At 52.0% G+C, this 19,665-nt stretch overlaps 1 protein-coding gene, 1 long non-coding RNA gene and 1 pseudogene across 18 annotated transcripts; 2 read left to right on the top strand and 1 right to left on the bottom strand.

Moving 5' to 3' along the window:
* RAPSN (receptor associated protein of the synapse) lies at positions 3,394 to 14,766 on the top strand. 17 transcript variants are annotated; one of them, NM_005055.5, is made up of 8 exons: positions 3,394 to 3,757; positions 4,380 to 4,718; positions 9,716 to 9,874; positions 10,609 to 10,707; positions 10,797 to 10,919; positions 11,318 to 11,371; positions 13,599 to 13,798; positions 14,483 to 14,766. In NM_005055.5, exons 1-8 carry the CDS (start codon positions 3,566 to 3,568, stop codon positions 14,553 to 14,555), a joined length of 1,239 nt encoding a protein of 412 aa, NP_005046.2. In that variant the 5' UTR covers positions 3,394 to 3,565; the 3' UTR covers positions 14,556 to 14,766. The 17 variants fall into 17 exon arrangements, with proteins under 17 accessions (NP_005046.2, NP_001427419.1, NP_001427420.1 ...); NM_001440490.1 differs by having other exon boundaries at positions 13,463 to 13,798; NM_001440491.1 differs by having other exon boundaries at positions 11,233 to 11,371.
* LOC124902673 (uncharacterized) lies at positions 5,093 to 14,906 on the bottom strand. The gene is made up of 2 exons (XR_007062669.1): positions 14,763 to 14,906; positions 5,093 to 5,203 (listed from the first exon to the last, which is right to left on the bottom strand). It is a non-coding gene; the product is annotated as an uncharacterized LOC124902673 (long non-coding RNA).
* Positions 12,464 to 12,524, top strand: LOC124902820 (uncharacterized; annotated as a pseudogene).

The following is a 19,665-nucleotide window of genomic DNA, read 5'->3' as shown; positions in this document are numbered from 1 at the left end:
TTGGGATGCCCAGGCCAGCGGATCACTTGAGCACAGGAGTTCAAAACCAGCCTGGCCAACATGGTGAAACCCCGTCTCTACTAAAAATATAAAAATTAGCTGGGCATGGTGGCATTGCCTGTAATGCCAGCTACTTGCGAGGGTTGAGGTGGGAGGGTGGCTTGAGCCCAGGAGGTCGAGGCCTCAGTGAGCCTAGATTGTACCACTGCACTCCAGCCTGGGCGACAAAGTGAGACCCTGTCTCAAAATAAAATTATAGAGATAAGTCCTGTATCAGAATGCAGTGTAATTCAATGAGAGGATAATATGCTGATTCATCCTAATTATGACTTACGAGGCAGAGTGTGGGTGTGGTGAACAGAGAAGGAATTAGGAGGTGCAAAGGCCCTGGGGCAGACAGGTAGGCAGGTACCAGAATGTAACAGTTGCCATATTACTCACACTTCTGCTCCAAGCATATACCTAAGAGAAATGAAAACATGTCCCCATAAAACCTAGTACATGAATTTTTTATTTTTTTGAAACAGGGTCTCGCTCTGTCACCCAGGCTGGAGTGTAGTGACATGATTGCGGCTCACTGCAGTCCAAGCTTGTAGGCTCAAGCGATTCTCCTGCCTCAGCCTCGCGAGTAGCTGGGACCACAGCTGTGCACCACCACACCCAGCTAATTTTTTTTTTTTTTTGTATTTTTTGTAGATATGGGGTCTCGCTATGTTTCCCAAGCTGGTCTCCAACTCCTGGGCTCAAGTGATCTGCCTGCTTCAGCCTCCTAGTGTGCTGGGATTACAGGCGTGAGCCACCGTGCCCAGCCCAATTTGTACATGAATTTTTATAGCATCATTATTCATAGTAGCCAAAAATGAAACAACCCAAATGCCTATTAACTGCTGAATCAACAAAATGTATATCCAGACAATGAGTATTAACCAACCACAATAAGTAATGAAGTTCTGATACGGTTGAAAACATAGTTGAATCTTGAAAACATTATGCCAAGTTAAAGAAGCCAGTCACAGATGACCACATATTGTATGATTCCATTCCTGTGAAGGGTCCACAATAGACAGGTCCATAGACACCAGGTGGCTTAAATAACAGAAATTTATTTTCTCACAGTTCTGGACGCTAGAAGTCCAAGATCAAGGAATTGGCAGAGTTGGTTTCATTCTAAGGCCTTGCTCCTGGGCTTGTAGATAGCCATCTTCTCCCTGTGTCTTCACGTGCTCTTCTTCTGTGTGACTGTGTCCTTTTTAAACATTTATTGTGGGCCAGGTGCGGGGGCTCACGCCTGTAATCCCAACACTTTGGGAGGCAGAGGTGGGCAGATCATGAAGTCAGGAGTTCCAGACCAGCCTGACCAACATGGTGAAACCCCGTCTCTACTAAAAATACAAAAATTAGCCAGGTGTGGTGGTGCGCAGCTGTAATCCCAGCTACTCAGGAGGCTGAGGCAGGAGAATCACTTGAACCTGGGAGGTGAAGGTTGCAGTGAGCCAAGATGGCACCACCACACTCCAGCCTGGGTGACAGAGGGAAAGTGTCTCAAAAAAAAAAAAAAGTATTGTGGTCAGGCATGGTGGCTCACGCCTATAACCCCAATACTTCGGGAGGCTCTGAGGCAGGTGGATCAACTGAGGTCAGAAGTTCAAGACCAGCCTGACCAACATGGTGAAACCCCGTCTCTACTAAATACAAAAACTTAGCCAGGCGTGGTGGCATACACCTGTCATCCCAGCTACTTGGGAGGCTGAGGCAGGAGAATTGCTTGAACCCGGGAGGTAGAAGTCTCAGTGAGCTGAGATTGTGCCACTGCACTCCAGCCTATGCAACAAGAGCAAAACTCCGTCTCAAAAATAATTTTTAAAAATAAAAATTTATTGTTTATTTATTTTTTGAGACAAGGTCTTGCTCTGGTGCTCAGGCTGGAGTGCAGTGGCACAATCACGGCTCACTGAAACCTCCACCTCCAGGAGTTCAAGACCAGCCTGGGCAACATGGTGAAACCCATCTCTACAAAAACTAGACAGCTGTGGTCTCAGCTACCCAGGAGACTGAGGTGGGAGGGTCACTTGAGCCTAGGAGGTAGAGGTTGCAGTGAGCTGTGACTGCACCACTGCACTCCAGCCTAGGTGACAGAGTGAGACCCTGTCTCAAAAAAAAGGGGGGGGGGATACCAGTCTTAACTGGATGAGGTACAATGTGACTTCATTTTACCTTAATCACCCTTTAAAGACCCTGTCTCCAAAGACAGTCACCTTATGAGATACTGAGTGTTAGGACTTAAACATATGCGTTTGGTTGCGGGGGGACATGATTCAGTCATATCAAGGTGGGGAATGGAGTGGTGTAACTGCTGATGGGTGTGCGTCTCCTTTTTGGGGTGGTTAAAATGTTCTGGAATTAGTGGCAATTAATGTGCATCTCTGTGAATATACTAAAAACCACTGAATTGCCCAGCCAGAAAGGATAAACTTTTGCCCTGGGGCAGGAAGAAGGCTGGCATGCAGAGAGAGGAGAAAGGGGGGCTGGATGAGCTGGCCTGCTAGCGGGGGCCCCAATACTACATAAGACCTTGCCCTTCTCCACAGTATCTGGTGTTAAATCTCATTATGAGGACCCTTTCAGCCCGGGGTTGGGATTGGAAGTGAGACATTGAAACTTCAAGGGCTGGGTTCTGGCCCGGGTGGGGATTTGCCATGGAGCAAAATAGCCTCTTGCAGCACATGCGGGGTTTCCTGTGCCGGGCACTGTCCTAAGTCCTTCTCAACTCTTTCGTCATTGAGTTCTCATAGCAGTCCAGTGAGCCAGGTACCATTCCTCTCTTCAGTCCACGGTGCCAGGTCACTTGGCTAGGGTCCCACTGAGAGTTCGAAGGAAGCCAGGCTAGAGCTCAGGCCTCTCACCAGCTGGAGGTCTTTCCCAGACTCTCTAAGGTGAGAGTTGGTGAATGGTGTCAGCCTGGGCCTGGATGAGTGACCCACGGTGCTCAGTGAATTTCAGGAACAGAGCCAGGGGATGCTGCGGTCAGGGGTGTCTTGATGGGGAAGAAGCAGGGCTGGGCGCTCACCTGGCTTCCCCGGACCTGCAGGTCCAGCCTCGCTCTCCTTCCCCCGAGCACCTCTAGCCCAAGGCCTGCCCACTTGCTGGAGCTGGCCCCTTGGCAAGGCTGCTGGGAGGGCCCGTGCTGCCAGGGCGGTCAGGGTCAGTGTCAGAGGTGCCTAAGGGACGCCCAAGGGGGTGCCCAGGTGGCAAGGTGCCTGTATGCTCAGGGAAGCCACGTCCCAGCTCGCGGGTGGGTGCAGCAGAGGCCCACGTGACCTTGCTGCTGACATTCCTCAGAGGCCATGTGGCCCCAACTGGCAGCGACAGCTGCAGACGGGCTGAACCAGCTTTGTTCCCAGGGTGGCGCCTGCTCTCCATCCAGGCCCCATTCCGGCTCCCACCCGACGCTGCTTTTGTTCCCACGTTTCGGGGGGCAGCTGGCACTGTGATTCCTGCCCCATGAGTGCCTAGAGGCACGGAGCCACCAGGGATCACCCCACGTGGGACACAGGGCTTGGGGAGGATGGGGCAGGACCAGACCAAGCAGCAGATCGAGAAGGGGCTCCAGCTGTACCAGTCCAACCAGACAGAGAAGGCATTGCAGGTGTGGACAAAGGTGCTGGAGAAGAGCTCGGACCTCATGGGGCGCTTCCGCGTGCTGGGCTGCCTGGTCACAGCCCACTCGGAGATGGGCCGCTACAAGGAGATGCTGAAGGTGGGTGTACCCGGCCTGGGGGCGTTCGAGGGTCAGGCTGGGGCCGGATGTCTCCCAGGCTCCCCAGTCCCCTCTCGGCCTCCTCGGGCTCCCCTGTGTCCCACAGGCTGGCAGCCAGGGCCCGAGGCTCTGAATTTATATCTAAGGCCCTGGGTCTTAGATACTGAGTCTTGGCATCAGATTCAGGCCTGTGGCCTTGAACTGTGGTGCCCGAGTCTCTGAGACTGAGGTTCTCCAGCCTCAGGGTCGAGGGTTTGTGGGTCTCAAGCCCATTGTAGGTTTCAGCCTTCCTGTCTGGTGTTCTGTGTCTGAGCCTGGCGGGGTGTGGGCTCCAGGGTTGCGGCTGGGGGTGGGTGGGTGGTGGAGACTCCAGATCTGAGGCTTGGGATAGAAGGTGAAGGCTGCAAGCCTGAGCTTGGGAGGTGAGGCTGGGGTGTAGGGAAGGTAGCTGAGGCTGGCGGGTAGAAGCTCTGGGTCTGAAAAGAAGCTTTGGGATCTGCTGCTTTGGGTGTGAGGCTGGGGGGTGGGTGTGGGGCCTCCAGGTCTGAGCCTGCAGTGCAGGCTGGGGTCCAAGGCTCAGAGTCCAGGCTGAGCACCACCTGCCCACCGTCGCTGTGTGCAGTTCGCTGTGGTCCAGATCGACACGGCCCGGGAGCTGGAGGATGCCGACTTCCTCCTGGAGAGCTACCTGAACCTGGCACGCAGCAACGAGAAGCTGTGCGAGTTTCACAAGACCATCTCCTACTGCAAGACCTGCCTTGGGCTGCCTGGTACCAGGGCAGGTGCCCAGCTCGGAGGCCAGGTCAGCCTGAGCATGGGCAATGCCTTCCTGGGCCTCAGCGTCTTCCAGAAGGCCCTGGAGAGCTTCGAGAAGGCCCTGCGCTATGCCCACAACAATGATGACGCCATGCTCGAGTGCCGCGTGTGCTGCAGCCTGGGCAGCTTCTATGCCCAGGTCAAGGTGGGCCTGCACCCCAGGGGGACAGCAGTGGAGGGTTTTGGGGCTCCCCTCTCATGAGGCACACACCCTGTGGCACTACCTCATTCAGCCCTCCTTTTAGGGAGGGCTGAGGAGAGTGAGAATCAGAGAGCAAAAAGGCTTATCCAGGAAGGTAACAACTTGGCCAGGAAGCCAGCAAGGGCAGAGCCAGGATTCAAACCTTGATCTGTGTGACTTCCTGGAGGAATAATGGGAGGCTCCTCTGTGAGGACAGGCCAGCGGCCTGCACTGCCATGTTTGCTGTGTGGTCTTGGGCAAGTCACCTATCCTCTCTGAACCTTGGGAGAGATCTGTAAAATGAAGGAGAATAGGACTCACCTTACAGTGGGGTTGTATGGAGTCAGTCATCAAATATTTATTGACCAGCTACTGTATCCCAAGACTGTTGACCCAGGGTGTAGCAGTGAGAAAAACAGCCAAGTCCCCGTCCTCACGAGGGTTGCATTCTAGTTGGAGAAGAAAGACGATCAACACAGTCAGGAAGTCAAGTGGTTAGGAGAAAGCGAAGCGGGGCAAAGGGCTGGCAGCACTGGGCGTGGGGGTGTCATAATTTCAAATATAGTGGTCGGAGGGCCTCGCAGAGGTGATGTTTGATGGCTTGAAGAAGAGAGGGTGTGCCATGCAAAAATCTGGTGAGAGAGCATTCTAGGCAAAAATGGGCGAGCCCCTAAAGCCAAGCTGGACCCTGGGGGAGCATCCTGGAATGTTTCCTGGAATGTTCCAGGAAGGACAGAGGCCAGCATGGCTGCCAGGCGTGTCTCAGGTGTGTGCGGAGGTAGGGAGGTGAGAGGAGGAGGGCCAACTGTGAAGGAACTGATAGGATCAGCCACAGCAGGTTCTGATCCTGGGTATTTTTTGGCGGGGGCAGGGGCGGAGTTTTGCTCTTGTCACCCAGGCTGGAGTGCAGTGGTGCCATCTCGGCTCACTGCAACCTCCGCCTCCTGGGTTCAAGCGATTCTCCTGCCCCAGCCTCCCAAGTAGCTGGGACTACAGGCGTATACCACCACGCCCGGCTAATTTTTGTGTTTTTAGTAGAAATGGGGTTTCACCATGTTGGCCAGGCTGGTCTTGAACTCCTGACCTCAGGGATCCGCCCGTCTTGGCCTCCCAAAGTGCTGGGATTACAGGCGTGAGCCACCGCACCCGGCCAACCCTGGGTATTTTTGTTCCCTTTCCCCTCAGGTATCTGTGCTGTGCTTGGTCCATGGGGGATTTAATGCCTGGCCCCAGTAGATGCTTAATAAATCTTGGAGTTAGTGAGTGGATAAATGCTGATGGATCCAAGGTGGGATGGGAGGAAACGAGTCACCAAGGATGACAGCCAGGACTTTGTTTTTAGGAAGCAGATGTAAGGGGGAGCCATTCAGTGAGATGAGATAGGACTGGGGCAGGACAGGGGTTTTTAAAAACCTTTTTAATTCTGAAGAAAAGTAAGCTAGGCCTGGTGGCTCACACTTGTAATCCCAGCACTTTGAGAAGCTGAGGGGTGAGGATCGCTCAAGACCAGGAGTTCCAGACCAGCGTCTACAAACAGTTTTTTTTTTTTTTTAATTTGGCAAGGCTCATGCCTATAATCTGAGCACTTTGAGAGGCCAAGCAGAAGGATTGCTTGAGCCCAGGAGTTTGAGAGCAGCTTGAGTCGCATAGCAAGACCCCATCTGCACCAAACTTTAAAAATGAACCAGACATGGTGGCTCACACCTATTGTTTCAGCTACTCAGGAGGCTGAGGCGGGAGGATCGCTTGAGCCCAGGAGTTTGAGGCTGCAGTGAGCCATGAGTGTTCCACTGCATTCCAGCCTGGGCAACAGAGCAAGACCCTGTGTGAGAGAAAAAAAAAAAAAGCCCAAGTGTGGGCTTGTGGGGTGTTCATTGCTAGTGGGATGTCCGTGCTTCTAAATCTTTTCAGTTATCAGAATAATGGAAGTTTATACTGACATTTCCAATTCAAATCTAATGTTTCAGGAGCTCCCCTTAACTTATTTTAAACTTGATTGTCTTTTCTCTTAGATGAAAAATCTTAGTTTCTAACCACATAATTAAATATTTGCTTTACCCTACAAAATACGTAAAATAATTCCAAAAGACAATACCAATATTACTCTAGAAAATAAAGACAACTGAATGAAGTTTAAGATTTCTTTGCTGTTCTTTTGGCTTTTTTTTTTTTTTTTTTTTTTGAGACAGTCTCGCTCTGTTGCCTAGGCTGGAGTGCAGTGGCTCGATCTCGGCTCACTGCCACTTCTGCCTCCCGGGTTCAAGCGATTCTCCTGGCTCAGCCTCCCGAGTAGCTGGGACTACCGGCACACGCCACTATGCCCAGCTAATTTTCTGTATTTTTAGTAGAGACGGGGTTTCACCATGTTGGCCAGGATGGTCTCAATCTCTTGACCTGGTGATCCACCCGCTTCAGCCTCCCAAAGTGCTGGGATTACCGGTGTGAGCCACTGTGCCCAGCCTTGTTTTTGTAATGTATCCCACTATGGGTAAACTGAGTACTTTTGTTCCAAAGTCATTGAAATAATATATATATATTTTTTTTTAGAGACGGAGTCTTACTCTGTCACCCAGGCTGGAGTGCAGTGGCACGATCTCGGTCACTGCACCCTCCGCCTCCCGGGTTCACGCCATTCTCCTGCCTCAGCCTCCCGAGTAGCTGGGACTACAGGCGCCTGCCACCACGCCCCGCTAATTTTTTTTGTGTGTGTATTTCTAGTAGAGACGGGGTTTCACCATGTTAGCCAGGATGGTCTGGATCTCTTGACCTTGTAGTCCACCCGCCTTGGCCTCCCAAAGTGCTGGGATTACAGGCATAAGCCACTGCGCCCGGCCAAAATAATTATTTGTGTGTGTGGTTGTAGTAATATGACACACAGTTAGGGACATTTATTTACTTTTTTTTTTTTTTTTTTTTTTGAGACAGTGTCTTGCTCTGTTGCCCAGGCTGGAGTGCAGTGGCGCGATCTCGGCTCACTGCAACCTCTGTCTCCCAGATTCAAGTGATTCTCCTGCCTCAGCCTCCCAAGTAGCTGGGACCACAGGCACTTGTCACCACACCTAGCTAGTTTTTTTGTATTTTAGTGGAGATGGGGTTTCACCATATTAGCCAGGATGGTCTCGATCTCCTGACTTCATGATCTGCCCATCTTGGCCTCCCAAAGTGCTGGGATTACAGGTGTGAGCCACTGCACCCAGCCTTAGGTTTTTGTTTTTGTTTTTGTTTTTGTTTTTTTTTGAGACAGGATCTTGCTCTGTCACCCAGGATGGAGTGCAGTGGCTCAATCACGGTTCACTGTAACCTAAAACTCCTGTGTTCAAGCGATCCTCCCTCCTCAGCTTCCTGAGTAGCTGGGACTACAGGCACATTCTTCCACATCTGGCTAATTTTTAAATTTTTTGTAGAGACAGTGGTCTTGCAATGTTGCCCAGGCTGATCTTGAACTCCTGGCCTCAAGCTGTTCTCCCAACTCAGCTTCCCCGAGTGCTGGGATTACAGACATGAGCCATTGCACCTGACCTCCATTTTCTATTTTTAGGTATTTTTCAAATTAAATTTAATTTTTTAATCTGTAAAACATTTATGTGGCTTCAAAAGTATGTAATAAGGCATATTAGGAAAAGGGTTTTTTGGGGGGGTTATTGACACTTCTCTTTTGGTCATGTTAACTTGGAGCTGCTTGTTAAATATTAAGTGAAAGATCAAATAGATTTACCTTGAAAAAGAACAGTGAAATGGGGCTTTAGCTGAAGGGAAATGACGTCACGAGAAGGTGGGTTAGTTTTCTTTTTTCTTTCCTTCTTTTCTTTTCTTTTCTTTTTTTTTTTTTTTTTTTTTTTTTTTTGTGAGACAGAGTCTGCCTCTGTCACCCAGGCTGGAGTGCAGTGGTGCAATCTCAGCTCACCATATCCTCGACCTCCTGTGCTCAAGTGATTCTCCCACCTCAGCCTCTTGAGTAGCTTGGAACTACAGGCGTGCACCACTATGCACAGCTGATTTTATTTTTGTAGAGACAGGGTCTCACTAAGTTGCCCAGGCCATTCTCCAACTCCTATGCTCAAGCGTTCCTCCTGTCTTGGCCTCCCAAAGTGCTGGGATTCCAGGCGTGAACCACTGTGCCTGGCCCAGTTTTTATTTTTTAAATGAGATGAGAAATGCCAGACATGTTTGCACGTGGATGGGAAAGATTCTGTAGAAAGAGAGGACCTGACGATGCAGAGACTGCTCATCGGAGGCTGGCATTTGATGGGAACAGGAGCCATCCTCCACAGTGACAGGAAAGGAGGCAGGGAGCGTGGGAGCAGAGGTGCGGAGATGGGAGATCTGGTGGAGACAGGAGGGGAAGGAGCTTCTCCCTGATTTTCTTCCTTTTCCTCGTGGAGTTGAGGCGAGGTCATCAGCTGACCATGAGCAGGTAGAAAATGCATTTGGAAGCTTGAGGAAAAAGTACAAGCCAATGGTTGCATCGCCTCGCTGAGTCTGTCTGATGTTCTTTTGAGCCTGTTGTGCTGCCAGTCTGCCACTGAGCTTCAGTGAACACCTGCTTCCGGGTGCCAGCAGGCAAGCTCTAGTGGAGGGATCTGGTATCTCCCATCCCTGTGCATCTCTGAAGCTGAGGAGCCCATTTGGCATTGGGAGAAAAGAGAAGCCAACTGTGTTTTCTTGTCTTTTCATTCATTCACTCAACAAATATTTATTGTGCATCTACCAAGTGCCAAGAACTGTGCTAGGCTCTTGGGATGCGTCACAAACCAGATGAGAATCCCTGAGTCCACAGAGCGACACCTTTGCACTGGCTGTTCCCTCTACCGGGCCACTCTTGTCCTGGATGTCACAATGAATGAGCAGACACTCGGGCCCCCTGCCCCTACCTGCTGTTAGAGAAACCTAGCCCAGGAGCCCTTGACTTGGGGCAGCCTCTGCCACTCAGTTTGCCTCCTTCCATTCCATGTCCCCTGCAGGACTACGAGAAAGCCCTGTTCTTCCCCTGCAAGGCGGCAGAGCTTGTCAACAACTATGGCAAAGGCTGGAGCCTGAAGTACCGGGCCATGAGCCAGTACCACATGGCCGTGGCCTATCGCCTGCTGGGCCGCCTGGGCAGTGCCATGGAGTGTTGTGAGGTGGGGCAGCGGGGAAGGGGGCAGGTCGGGGATGAGGTGGTGTGGGCCAGGGGCTGGGGCCTGGGACAGCAGGGCTTCCTTCTTCCAAATCAGCCCATGGAAGCCCCCTAGGGCTTGCCTCTGGCCCAGCCTCTCTAAAGGCGTGCACCACCATGCACAGCTAATTTTATTTTTGTAGAGACGGGGTCTCACTAAACCACCCTCCTGTGCTGAAGCGATCCTCGTGTCTTGGCCTCCCAAAGTGCTGGGATTCCAGGCATGAGCCACTTGTGCCTGGCCCAGTTTTTATTTTTTAAATGAGATGAGTTCTCTACAGCTGAACCCCTGAAGGAAACATTTGTCCCCCAGCCTCATCCCAAACCCACTCCCTTCCAATCCATCTGCAGGGGAGGGGGCTTCCTTCTGCCCCAACACCCTATATGGGGTACTTTGAAGGGTAGAGACGGAAGAGGGCCAGTTTCTGGAGTCCCACTGACCTGGGTTCACATCCCAGCTTTGTCACTTACTGGGTGACCCCAATCAAGTCACTTCTCTTTGAGCCTCACTTTCCACCCACCTTGCTGGGTGCTGTGACTTCAGTGGTTCAGTGTGTGAGCCCTCAGCACCATGATAGATTCACTAGGCTCTGAGGATGTTGCTTCCCTGGGCTGTCCCTTCAGAGGGGTCTGTTGAGGGGAGGGCACTCCAGTGGTGGTGGCAGAGGAGTAGGCCTGAGCCACTGGCCTCCCTCGCAGGAGTCTATGAAGATCGCGCTGCAGCACGGGGACCGGCCACTGCAGGCGCTCTGCCTGCTCTGCTTCGCTGACATCCACCGGAGCCGTGGGGACCTGGAGGTGAGGTCACCGGGATGCAGGGGCTGGGGGCAGGGGGCAGGGGCACAGGCCTGATACAGCCTGATTCCATCCCCCACCTGGCTCTGCAGACAGCCTTCCCCAGGTACGACTCCGCCATGAGCATCATGACCGAGATCGGAAACCGCCTGGGGCAGGTGCAGGCGCTGCTGGGTGTGGCCAAGTGCTGGGTGGCCAGGAAGGCGCTGGACAAGGTGAGGTCGGGCCTTTCCCACAGCCTCCAGCCCTCCCAGCACTCCCCACTTGGGGCCAGTAGGTTAGCCGGCTCTTTCAGCCACTTTGTCTGACGTCAGCCTCACCCTGATCCTACGAGGCCAGGACATTCCTGGTCATTTTCCAGGCTCAGAGAAGGCCCATCACTTGCCCTAGGACCCACAGCTAGTAAAGGGCTGGAACCCTGGGTAAACTGAGGCAGGAGGTCACTTGCCCACACAGCCCCTATGACTGTGCCCTAGTCTCTTCCTGCTGCCTTCACACACAAGGCAGCTGCCATGTCACCCTCCCTAGGCCTGCCCCCCTACCCTGTGCTTCCCTGTGAGCAAGGCCTGTCAGACAGCTCTGCCCGCAGCCCTGGCCTATGCTCACCTTCCAGGCTCTGGATGCCATCGAGAGAGCCCAGGATCTGGCCGAGGAGGTGGGGAACAAGGTCAGACTTGATTCTGTGTCCTGGATCTGGGGTCAAGGGCCCAAGTGGGGAACTTGGGTCTGGGGAAGGGCCTTCCTGAGCCTACTCACGTCATGAGCCCTTCCTGATGCTGGGAGCTGCCTGCAGCCAACCCCATACTCTGGCTCTTTCTCTGCCACACACACAGCACTTCTGAGGGCAGGGCAGAAGTTTCATAGCTTGGAGGATAGCAGAATTCCTCAGAAGCTTCCTGATGTTGATTAAAACCCCTAACAGTGGGCTGGACATGGTGGCTCACATCTATAATCCTAGAATTTTGGGAGGCCGAGGTAGGAGGATCACTTGAGCCCAGAAGTTCGAGAGCAGCCTGGGCTACATAATGAGACCCATGCTCTAAAAAAGAAAAGAAAAGAAAAGAAAAAAACATTTTTGAGATTGAGTTTTGCTCTTGTCTCCCAGGCTGGAGTGCAATAGCGCGATCCCAGCTTACTGCAACCTCTGCCTCCCAGGTTGAAGTGATTCTCCTGCTTCAGCCTCCTGAGTAGCTGGGATTATAGGCACCCGCCACCACACTGGGCTAATTTTTGTATTTTTTATAGAGATGGGGATTCACTGCGTTGGCCAGGCTTGTCTGAAACTCCTGACCTCAGGTGATCCACCTGCCTCGGCCTCCCAAAGTGCTGGGATTACAGGCATGAGCCACCAGGCCCGGCCTCTACAAAAAATGTTTTAAAATTAGCCAGCTGTTGTGGCACACACCTGAGGTCCCAACTACTTGGGAGGCTGAGGTGGGAGGATAGCTTGAGCCCAGGAGGTCAAGGCTGCAGTGAGCTGTGATTGCTCCACTGCACTCCAGCCTGGGTAACAGAGTGAGACCTTATCTCAAAACAAACAAAAACTAACAGTGGCCTCCACTCCCTGAGCACTGAGCACACACAGGGTCCTTATGGGTACTGGGTCCAGTCCTCACTCTCTCCCTGTGAGGTGAGTACAGCAAGCCCCATTTTACAGATGAGGAAAAGTGAGGCTCAAAGAGGCGTCCAAGGTCCCACACCTACTAACTTGTCTGTTTTAACTACAAAGCCCATGTTCCAAATTTAATAATGGTATCTAGTGCTTGCTTTGGCAGCCCATATTCTGAAATTGGAACAATACAGAGAAGATTAGCATGGCCTAAAAACCAAAACCAAGGCCGGGTGCGGTGGCTCACACCTGCATTTTGGGAGGCCGAGGTGGGCAGATCACCTGAGATCAGCCTGACCAACATGGTGAAACTCTGTCTCTACTAAAAATACAAAAATTAGCCAGGTGTGGTAGTGCACGCCTGTAATCCCAGCTGCTTGGGAGGCTGAGGCAGGAGAATCACTTGAACCCGGGAGGTGGAGGTTGCCATGAACCAAGATTGTGCCACTGTACTCCAGCCTGGGTGACAGAGCAAGACTCCATCTAAAAAAAAAAAAAAAAAAATCGTCATAATCTTATTAAAACCTTAAAATCTTGAAAACAGGTTCACCACTTCTCAAAGCCTTCCAGATGTGCATTTCTACGAGATCCTGTGCACAGTCCAACCAAAATGCCAAAATTTGGTTGGATTATAGCCACTCTGGTTTACCTGGGTATCAGGCTGATCAGAAATGCTGATGAGCTATTGTGTGTATATTTAATTAATAAAAACAGGAAAGCAGATTAATTATTATTTTTTTTTGAGACGGAGTTTCACTATTAGAGCCCAGGCTGGAGTGCAGTGGTGCGATTTCGGCTTACTGCAACCTCCGCCTCCTGGGTTCAAGCGATTCTCCTGCCTCAGTCTCCTGAGTAGCAGGGATTACAGGCACTCACCACCACCCCCGGCTAATTTTTGTATTTTTAGTAGAGATGGGGTTTCGCCATGTTGGCCAGGCTGGTCTCGAACTCCTGGCCTCAGGTGATCCACCTGCCTCGGCCTCCCCAAGTGCTGGGATTACAGGCATGAGCCACGGCGCCCTGCCGCAAATTATTATGGAGTCTGTGCACCAGGTTTGGTCATAAAATCTGTCAAAAACATGGGGTCTCCAGGCAGTTCTGGGGGGTGAAGTCTTCTGATCTCACCCACCGCCTCATTCTGCATGAAAGGAAGCAAGGTCCCAGAGAGGGCAGGACATTTTTCCAAGGTCCATCAGCAAGACAGGGAAGTGGCTGAGACCGGAGCCTACCTGCACTGACTTTGTTCTCATCCCCCACTGGCGCTCTCCACTCCTGCGGGCCCCAGCTGAGCCAGCTCAAGCTGCACTGTCTGAGCGAGAGCATTTACCGCAGCAAAGGGCTGCAGCGGGAACTGCGGGCGCACGTTGTGAGGTTCCACGAGTGCGTGGAGGAGACGGAGCTCTACTGCGGCCTGTGCGGCGAGTCCATAGGCGAGAAGAACAGCCGGCTGCAGGCCCTACCTTGCTCCCACATCTTCCACCTCAGGTGGGGGCTCCTGGGGGGGTGGACAGGGGTGGGCAGGATCTCTTCGGGGCACTCTAGGGCCCAGCTGGCTTAATCACAGCAATAATACTAATAGCAAACACTTAACCTTGGCCAGGCGTGGTGCCTCACGTCTGTCTCGCAAGCACTTTGGGAGGCCGAGGCGGGCTGATCACTTGAGCCCCGGGGTTCAAGATCATCTTGGCCAACATGGTGAAACCCCGTCTCTACTAAAAATACAAAAATTACCCAGGCATGGTGGTGGGAGCCTGTAATCCCAACTACTCGGGAGGCTGAGGCAGGAGAATCACTTGAACCCGGGAGGCAGAGGCTGCAGTGAGCTGAGATCTGTGGCCATTCTTTTCATAATCCCCAAAGAGGAGTCAGAGAGGCCCCTCAAAGGTCATTAGGTCGGACGTCCAGGGCCAGACCTGCCGTGGGTCTGGTTCCATCCCATCCTCTCAACTCCCAGCCCCTGCTCTGCCCTGGAGGTCCCTGGGGCAGAGGAGGAGAGGGGCAAGCCGGGTGCAGTGGGAGCCTGGGGGGACCGTTCCCTTCCCTTCCACTGCTGCTGAACAGCCACCAGGATGCATCCCAGCCCCTGCAGAGGGCAGGCAAGGAAGGAAGAGAGGGCCCGGAGGGAAGGACAGGCCTCAGGGGAGTGGACAGGGCCCTTTGCCTCCCCAGGTGCCTGCAGAACAACGGGACCCGGAGCTGTCCCAACTGCCGCCGCTCATCCATGAAGCCTGGCTTTGTATGACTCCTGGCAGCAGGCGTGGGCTTCCTCCTCGCCACTCCTGCTCTTTCTCCACTGCACGCCAGAGGCCCATTTACTCCTGGGGCAGCTGCCAGGTCGTCCTCACCATAGCCAAGGCCTTGGGGCCTGCCCAGGGCTGCTCCCCTGGGCCCAGCTCCCCTCCCTGCCTCTTTGTACTTTGCTCTTTATAGAAAAATAAACTGTTTGTACCTGGTCCCAGGGATTCCGACTTTCCATGCCCAAGGTCTGAGGAGTGGGGAGAGTGGGAGTGAGGCGCCCCACAGGAGCTTCCTCAGACGCAAGCGTTTCCTCTGCACATATGTACAAGGGCCTCCAGCAGCCCCTCCAGGAACTTGGGATGCCACAGAGACACGATCCCTGCAGTGAGAAGCTGACGTGCAGTGGGTGGGAGGGTATATGATAAACAGGAAACACACAGTTTGGAAAGCCTGGTGGGAAGCTGCTATAGACGAATCGTGTCCCCCCAGATTCCCATGTTGAAGGCTTAGTCCGTTTGGGCTGTTGTAACGAAACAGACTGGGTGGCTTGTAAACAACAGGAATTGATATGTCACAGTTCTGGAGGCTGGGAAGTCCAAGATCAAGGCACCTGCAGATTGGGTGTCTGGTGAGGGCGCACATTCTTGCTCACAGATTGAGTTTTCTTGCTGTGTTCTTGCATGGTGGAAGGGACAAGGAAGTTCTCTGCATTCCTTTTTTTTTTTTCTTTTTGAGACAGGGTCTCACTCTGTCGCCCAGGCTGGAGTGCAGTGGTGAGATCTCAGCTCACTGCAACCTCCGCCTCCCGGGTTCAAGCAGTTCTCCTGCCTCAGCCTCCTGAGTAGCTGGGATTACAGACACGCATCAACATGCCTGGCTAATTTTTCTATTTTTAGTAGAGACAGGGTTTCTCCAAGTTGGCCAGGCTGGTCTCTAACTCCTGACCTCAAAAGATCCACCTGTCTTGGCCTCCCAAAGTGCTGGGATTACAGGCGAGAACAACCATGCCAGGCACAGTCCCTTAATAAGGGCACTAATCCCATATATAAGGGCTCCACCCTCATGACCTAATTGCCTCCCAAAGGCCTCACCTGCCTAATGACAGTCCTAGCAGGCTCATATAATGTGATAAGTTCTTTGTAACAATAAAGAGTAGAGCCTGGTTGTGTGCAGTGGTTCCTGCTTGTAATTCCAGCACTTTGGGAGGCCGAGGTGGGTGGGTCACTTGAACCCAGGAGTTCAAGACCAGCCTGTACAACATGGCAAAACCCTGTCTCTAGAAAAAAAAAAATACAAAAATTAGTCAGCATGGTGGCACACACCTGTAGTCCCAGCTACTCGGGAGGATGAAGCAGGAGAATCTCTTGAACCTGGGAGGCAGAGGTTGCAGTGAGCCAAGATCATACTACTGCACTTCAGCCTGGGGGACAGAGCAATACTCTGTCTCAAAAAAAAAAAAATAAGAGTAGAGGCCTGGCGCAGTGGCTCACACCTGTAATCCCAGCACTCTGGGAGGCAGAGGGGAGGTTGGATCACCTGAGGTCAGGAGTTCGAGACCAGCCTGACCAACATGGTGAAACCCCGTCTCTACTAAAAATACAAACATTAGCTGGGCGCGGTGGTGGGCGCCTGTAATCCCAGCTCCTCCGGAGGCTGAAGCAGGAGAATCGCTTGATCCTGGGAGGTGGCAGTTGTGGTGGGCTGAGATTGTGCCATTGCACTCCAGCCTGGGCAACAGAGCGAGACTCCATCTCAAAAAAGAAAAAAGAGTAGAGCCTGGTCCCTCTTCCTCATGTTCACCCCCTTCCCTAAACCAGTTCTAAAACCATTAAGTGGGACAGAGCAAGACAAGCATCTGTGTGGAGGGGTGACCTGGTGTGAGGCACTGGAATCTAAGCAGGCTGAAGAGTGTCCACACAGGGCAAGGCCTGGGGTGAGAGGTCAGAACCTGTGTGGAGAGAGGACAGAATCCACACATGGGGTTGGGTTGTTTTGAAGTGTCAGAGACCAAGCCCAAGGAGGGGCAGCCTGGCGTGGGCCATTGGGACCTCACCAGAGTAAGGAGGCATCCAAATTGGTGAAGGTTTGTGTGAGGCATCAGAGCTTGAGTAGAGCGAATAGGCCATGCACATGATTTGGGGCATCCTGGCAGGGGGCATTAGGTCAAGGATGGAGTGAAGAGGGTTCTGTGTGTGGAAGGGAGTGGCAGTGGAACACTGGGTACACAGAGGGGGTTGATCAAACAAGTAAGTAGGTCAGGTGCGGTGGCTCACAGTCTATAATCCCAGCACTCTGGGAAGCCGAGGCAAGTGGATCACTTGAGGTCAGGAGTTCGAAAGCAGCCTGGCCAACATGGTGAAACCCCATCTCTACTAAAAATACAAAAAAAAATTAGCCTGGCGTGGTGGCAGGCGCCTGTAGTCCCAGCTACTCAGGAGGCTGAGGCAGGAGAATGGCGTGAACCAAGGAAGCAGAGCTTGCAGTGAGCCGAAATCCTGCCACTGCACTCCAGCCTGGGTGACAGAGCAAGACTCTGTCTCAAAAAAAAAAAAAAAAAAAAATTAGCTGGGCGTGGTGGTGCACACTTGTAATCCCAGCTACTTGGAGGCTGAGGCAGGAGAATCCCTTGAGCCCAGGAGGTGGAGGTTGCAGTGAGCTGAGAGCACACCACTGCACTCCAGCCTGGGCAACAAGAGTGAGACTCCATCTCAAAAAAAAAAAAAAAAAAAGTAGGTAGATTAAGGACAGTGGAAGGCAGCTTTCTCACTTTTTTTTTTTTTTAGATGGAGTCTTGCTTTGTCACCCAAGCTGGAGTGCAATGCCTCCATCTTGGCTCACTGCAACCTCTGCCTCCTGGGTTGAAGCAATTCTCCTGCCTCAGCCTCCTGAGTAACTGGGACTACAGGCATGTGCCACCATGCCGGCTAATTTTTTGCATTTTTAGTAGAGACAGGTTTTCACTGTGTTAGCCAGGATGGTCTCGATCTCCTGACCCCATGATCCGCCTGCCTCAGCCTCCCAAAGTGCTGAGATTACAGGTGTGAGCCACCGTGCCTGGCCGCTTTCTCACTATTGATGGAGAGAATTACAAATATGGAAAGGGAGAGAACCAGAGTGGACCCTGTGGCGCTGAATTAGAATTGTAAGAATCAGTGTGAACTCATGGATTTCAAAATATACGGGTAGATCTAGAAATAAATATAGTTATAAATGTGCGTGTCCACCAGCCTGGGCGCAGTGATATGCCAACAGCAATGAGCTCACCCAGCAGCCAGGGCTTGGCTTTGAAACACCATGTTTCACAAAAAGGAACCAAGGCTCTTTGGTCAAGGGCCTGATTCCAGGGCTGGGTCATAGAGAGTACAAGATGAGCCAGAGCTATTTTGTGCCAGAAAGCAAGGGAAGTTGAAAGAATAATGAGGAAAACTCAAAGGCCACAGGAGCCAGCTTGGATGGGCTCCCAGCAGCCACTGATAATGAGTAACAGTGAATGTCGCAGCTCAGGCTGCCATAACAAGGCACCTTAGGATGAGAAGCTTAAACAACTAAAACTTACAGTTCTAGAGACAGGACATCCAAGATCGAGGTGCCAGAAAATTCAAGAAGCCTCTCCTCCTGACTTGCCCTTCTCTCTGTGTTCTTACAAGACTTTCCCCCCATGCTGCTGTGGTGACAGCAAGATTGAGCCCTCTCTCTCTCTCTTTTTATGTATTTATTTATTTTTGAGACAGAGTCTCGCTCTGTTGCCCAGGCTAGAGTGCAGTGGCATGGTCTTGGCTCACTGCCTCAGCCTCCCAAGTAGCCAGGATTACAGGTATGTGCCACTATGCCTGCCTAATTTTTGTATTTTTAGTAGAGATAGGGTTTCACCATGTTGGTCAGGCTGGTCATGAAGTCCTGGACTCAAGCAATCCACCTGCCTCAGCCTCCCAAAATGCTGGGATTACAGGCACGTGTCACCACACCCGGCTAATTTTTGTATTTTTAGTAGAGACAGAATTTGGCCATGTTGGCCAGGCTGGTCTCGAACACCTGACCTCAGGTGATCTGCCCCCCACCCCCTAGTCTCTTTCCCTCCCTCCCTCTGTCTTCCTCTTCCTATAAAGGCACTAATTGTCTGGGTGTGGTGGCTCACGCCTGTAACTCCAGTAGTTTGGGAGGCGGAGGCAGGCAAATCACTTGAGGTCAGGAGTTCGAGACCAGCCTGGGCAACACGGCAAAACCCTGTCTCTACTAAAAATACAAAAATTAGCCACATGTGGTGGTGCACATCTGTAATCCCAACTACTTGGGAGGCTGAGGTGGGAGTATCACTTAAGCCCAGGAGGCAGAGGCTGCAAAGAGCTGAGATGGCACCACTGCACTCCAGCCTGGGCCAGAGTGAGACCCTGTGAAAAAAAAAAAACGAAACAGGCTGGGCCTCATTGAGAAGGTGGCATGTGAGTGAAACCTTAAAGGAGGTGAGAGATTGAACTAAGCAGATTTCCTGGAAAGAGCATTCTCCTAGAGAACAGAATCCTAAGACAGGAGCTTGCCTGATGTGCTCAGGAGCAGCAGGGAGGCCTGTAAGTGAGCAGGAGGGAAGGAGGAGGAGTGGAGGCCAGGAGGAGAGTGTGGTGTGAACACATGCAGGACTTGGGAAGGACTTTGGCTCCTGCTCTGGCGAGTCGGGCACCTGCTGAGGATTTTGAGCAGAGGAGTGACGTGATCTGACTTGGTTTTACAAGAATTCCTCTGGTTGCTATGTGGAGAACAGATTCCATACAAGACAGCTGGCCTGAATGTTTCAAAAATGCCAAGGCCATGAAAGACCAAAATGATTGAGAGATTGTTCTGGAATAAAGAAGATTAAAGAGATGTGACAACTAAATGGATCATGTGACCCTTGACTTGATGCTGGATTTTTAAAATTATTTTATTTTATTTATTTATTTATTTATTTCTTAGATGGAGTCTTGCTCTGTTGCCCAGGCTGGAGTGCAGTGGCGCGATATCGGCTCACTGCAACCTCCACTTTCCAGGTTCAAGCAATTCTCCTGCCTCAGCCTCCCAAGTAGCTGGGATTACAGGCGCCCACCACAGCGCCCAGCTAATTTTTTGTATTTTTAGTAGAG

This window comes from Homo sapiens, chromosome 11 (genome assembly GCF_000001405.40).
Source record: "Homo sapiens chromosome 11, GRCh38.p14 Primary Assembly".
Classification (NCBI taxonomy): Eukaryota; Metazoa; Chordata; class Mammalia; order Primates; family Hominidae; genus Homo; species Homo sapiens.
This window is presented reverse-complemented; position numbering and strand designations above follow the sequence as displayed.

What these genes read in the sequence shown, in the direction of transcription:
- RAPSN (NM_001440490.1), top strand. Translation starts at nt 3,566, where the DNA reads ATGGGGCAGGACCAGACCAAGCAGCAGATCGAGAAGGGGCTCCAGCTG. An exon ending in GTGCCATGGAGTGTTGTGAG is followed by an intron (nt 9,875 to 10,608) that starts GTGGGGCAGCGG and finishes CCTCCCTCGCAG; the next exon opens with GAGTCTATGAAGATCGCGCT. An exon ending in CCGAGGAGGTGGGGAACAAG is followed by an intron (nt 11,372 to 13,462) that starts GTCAGACTTGAT and finishes TCTGCATGAAAG; the next exon opens with GAAGCAAGGTCCCAGAGAGG.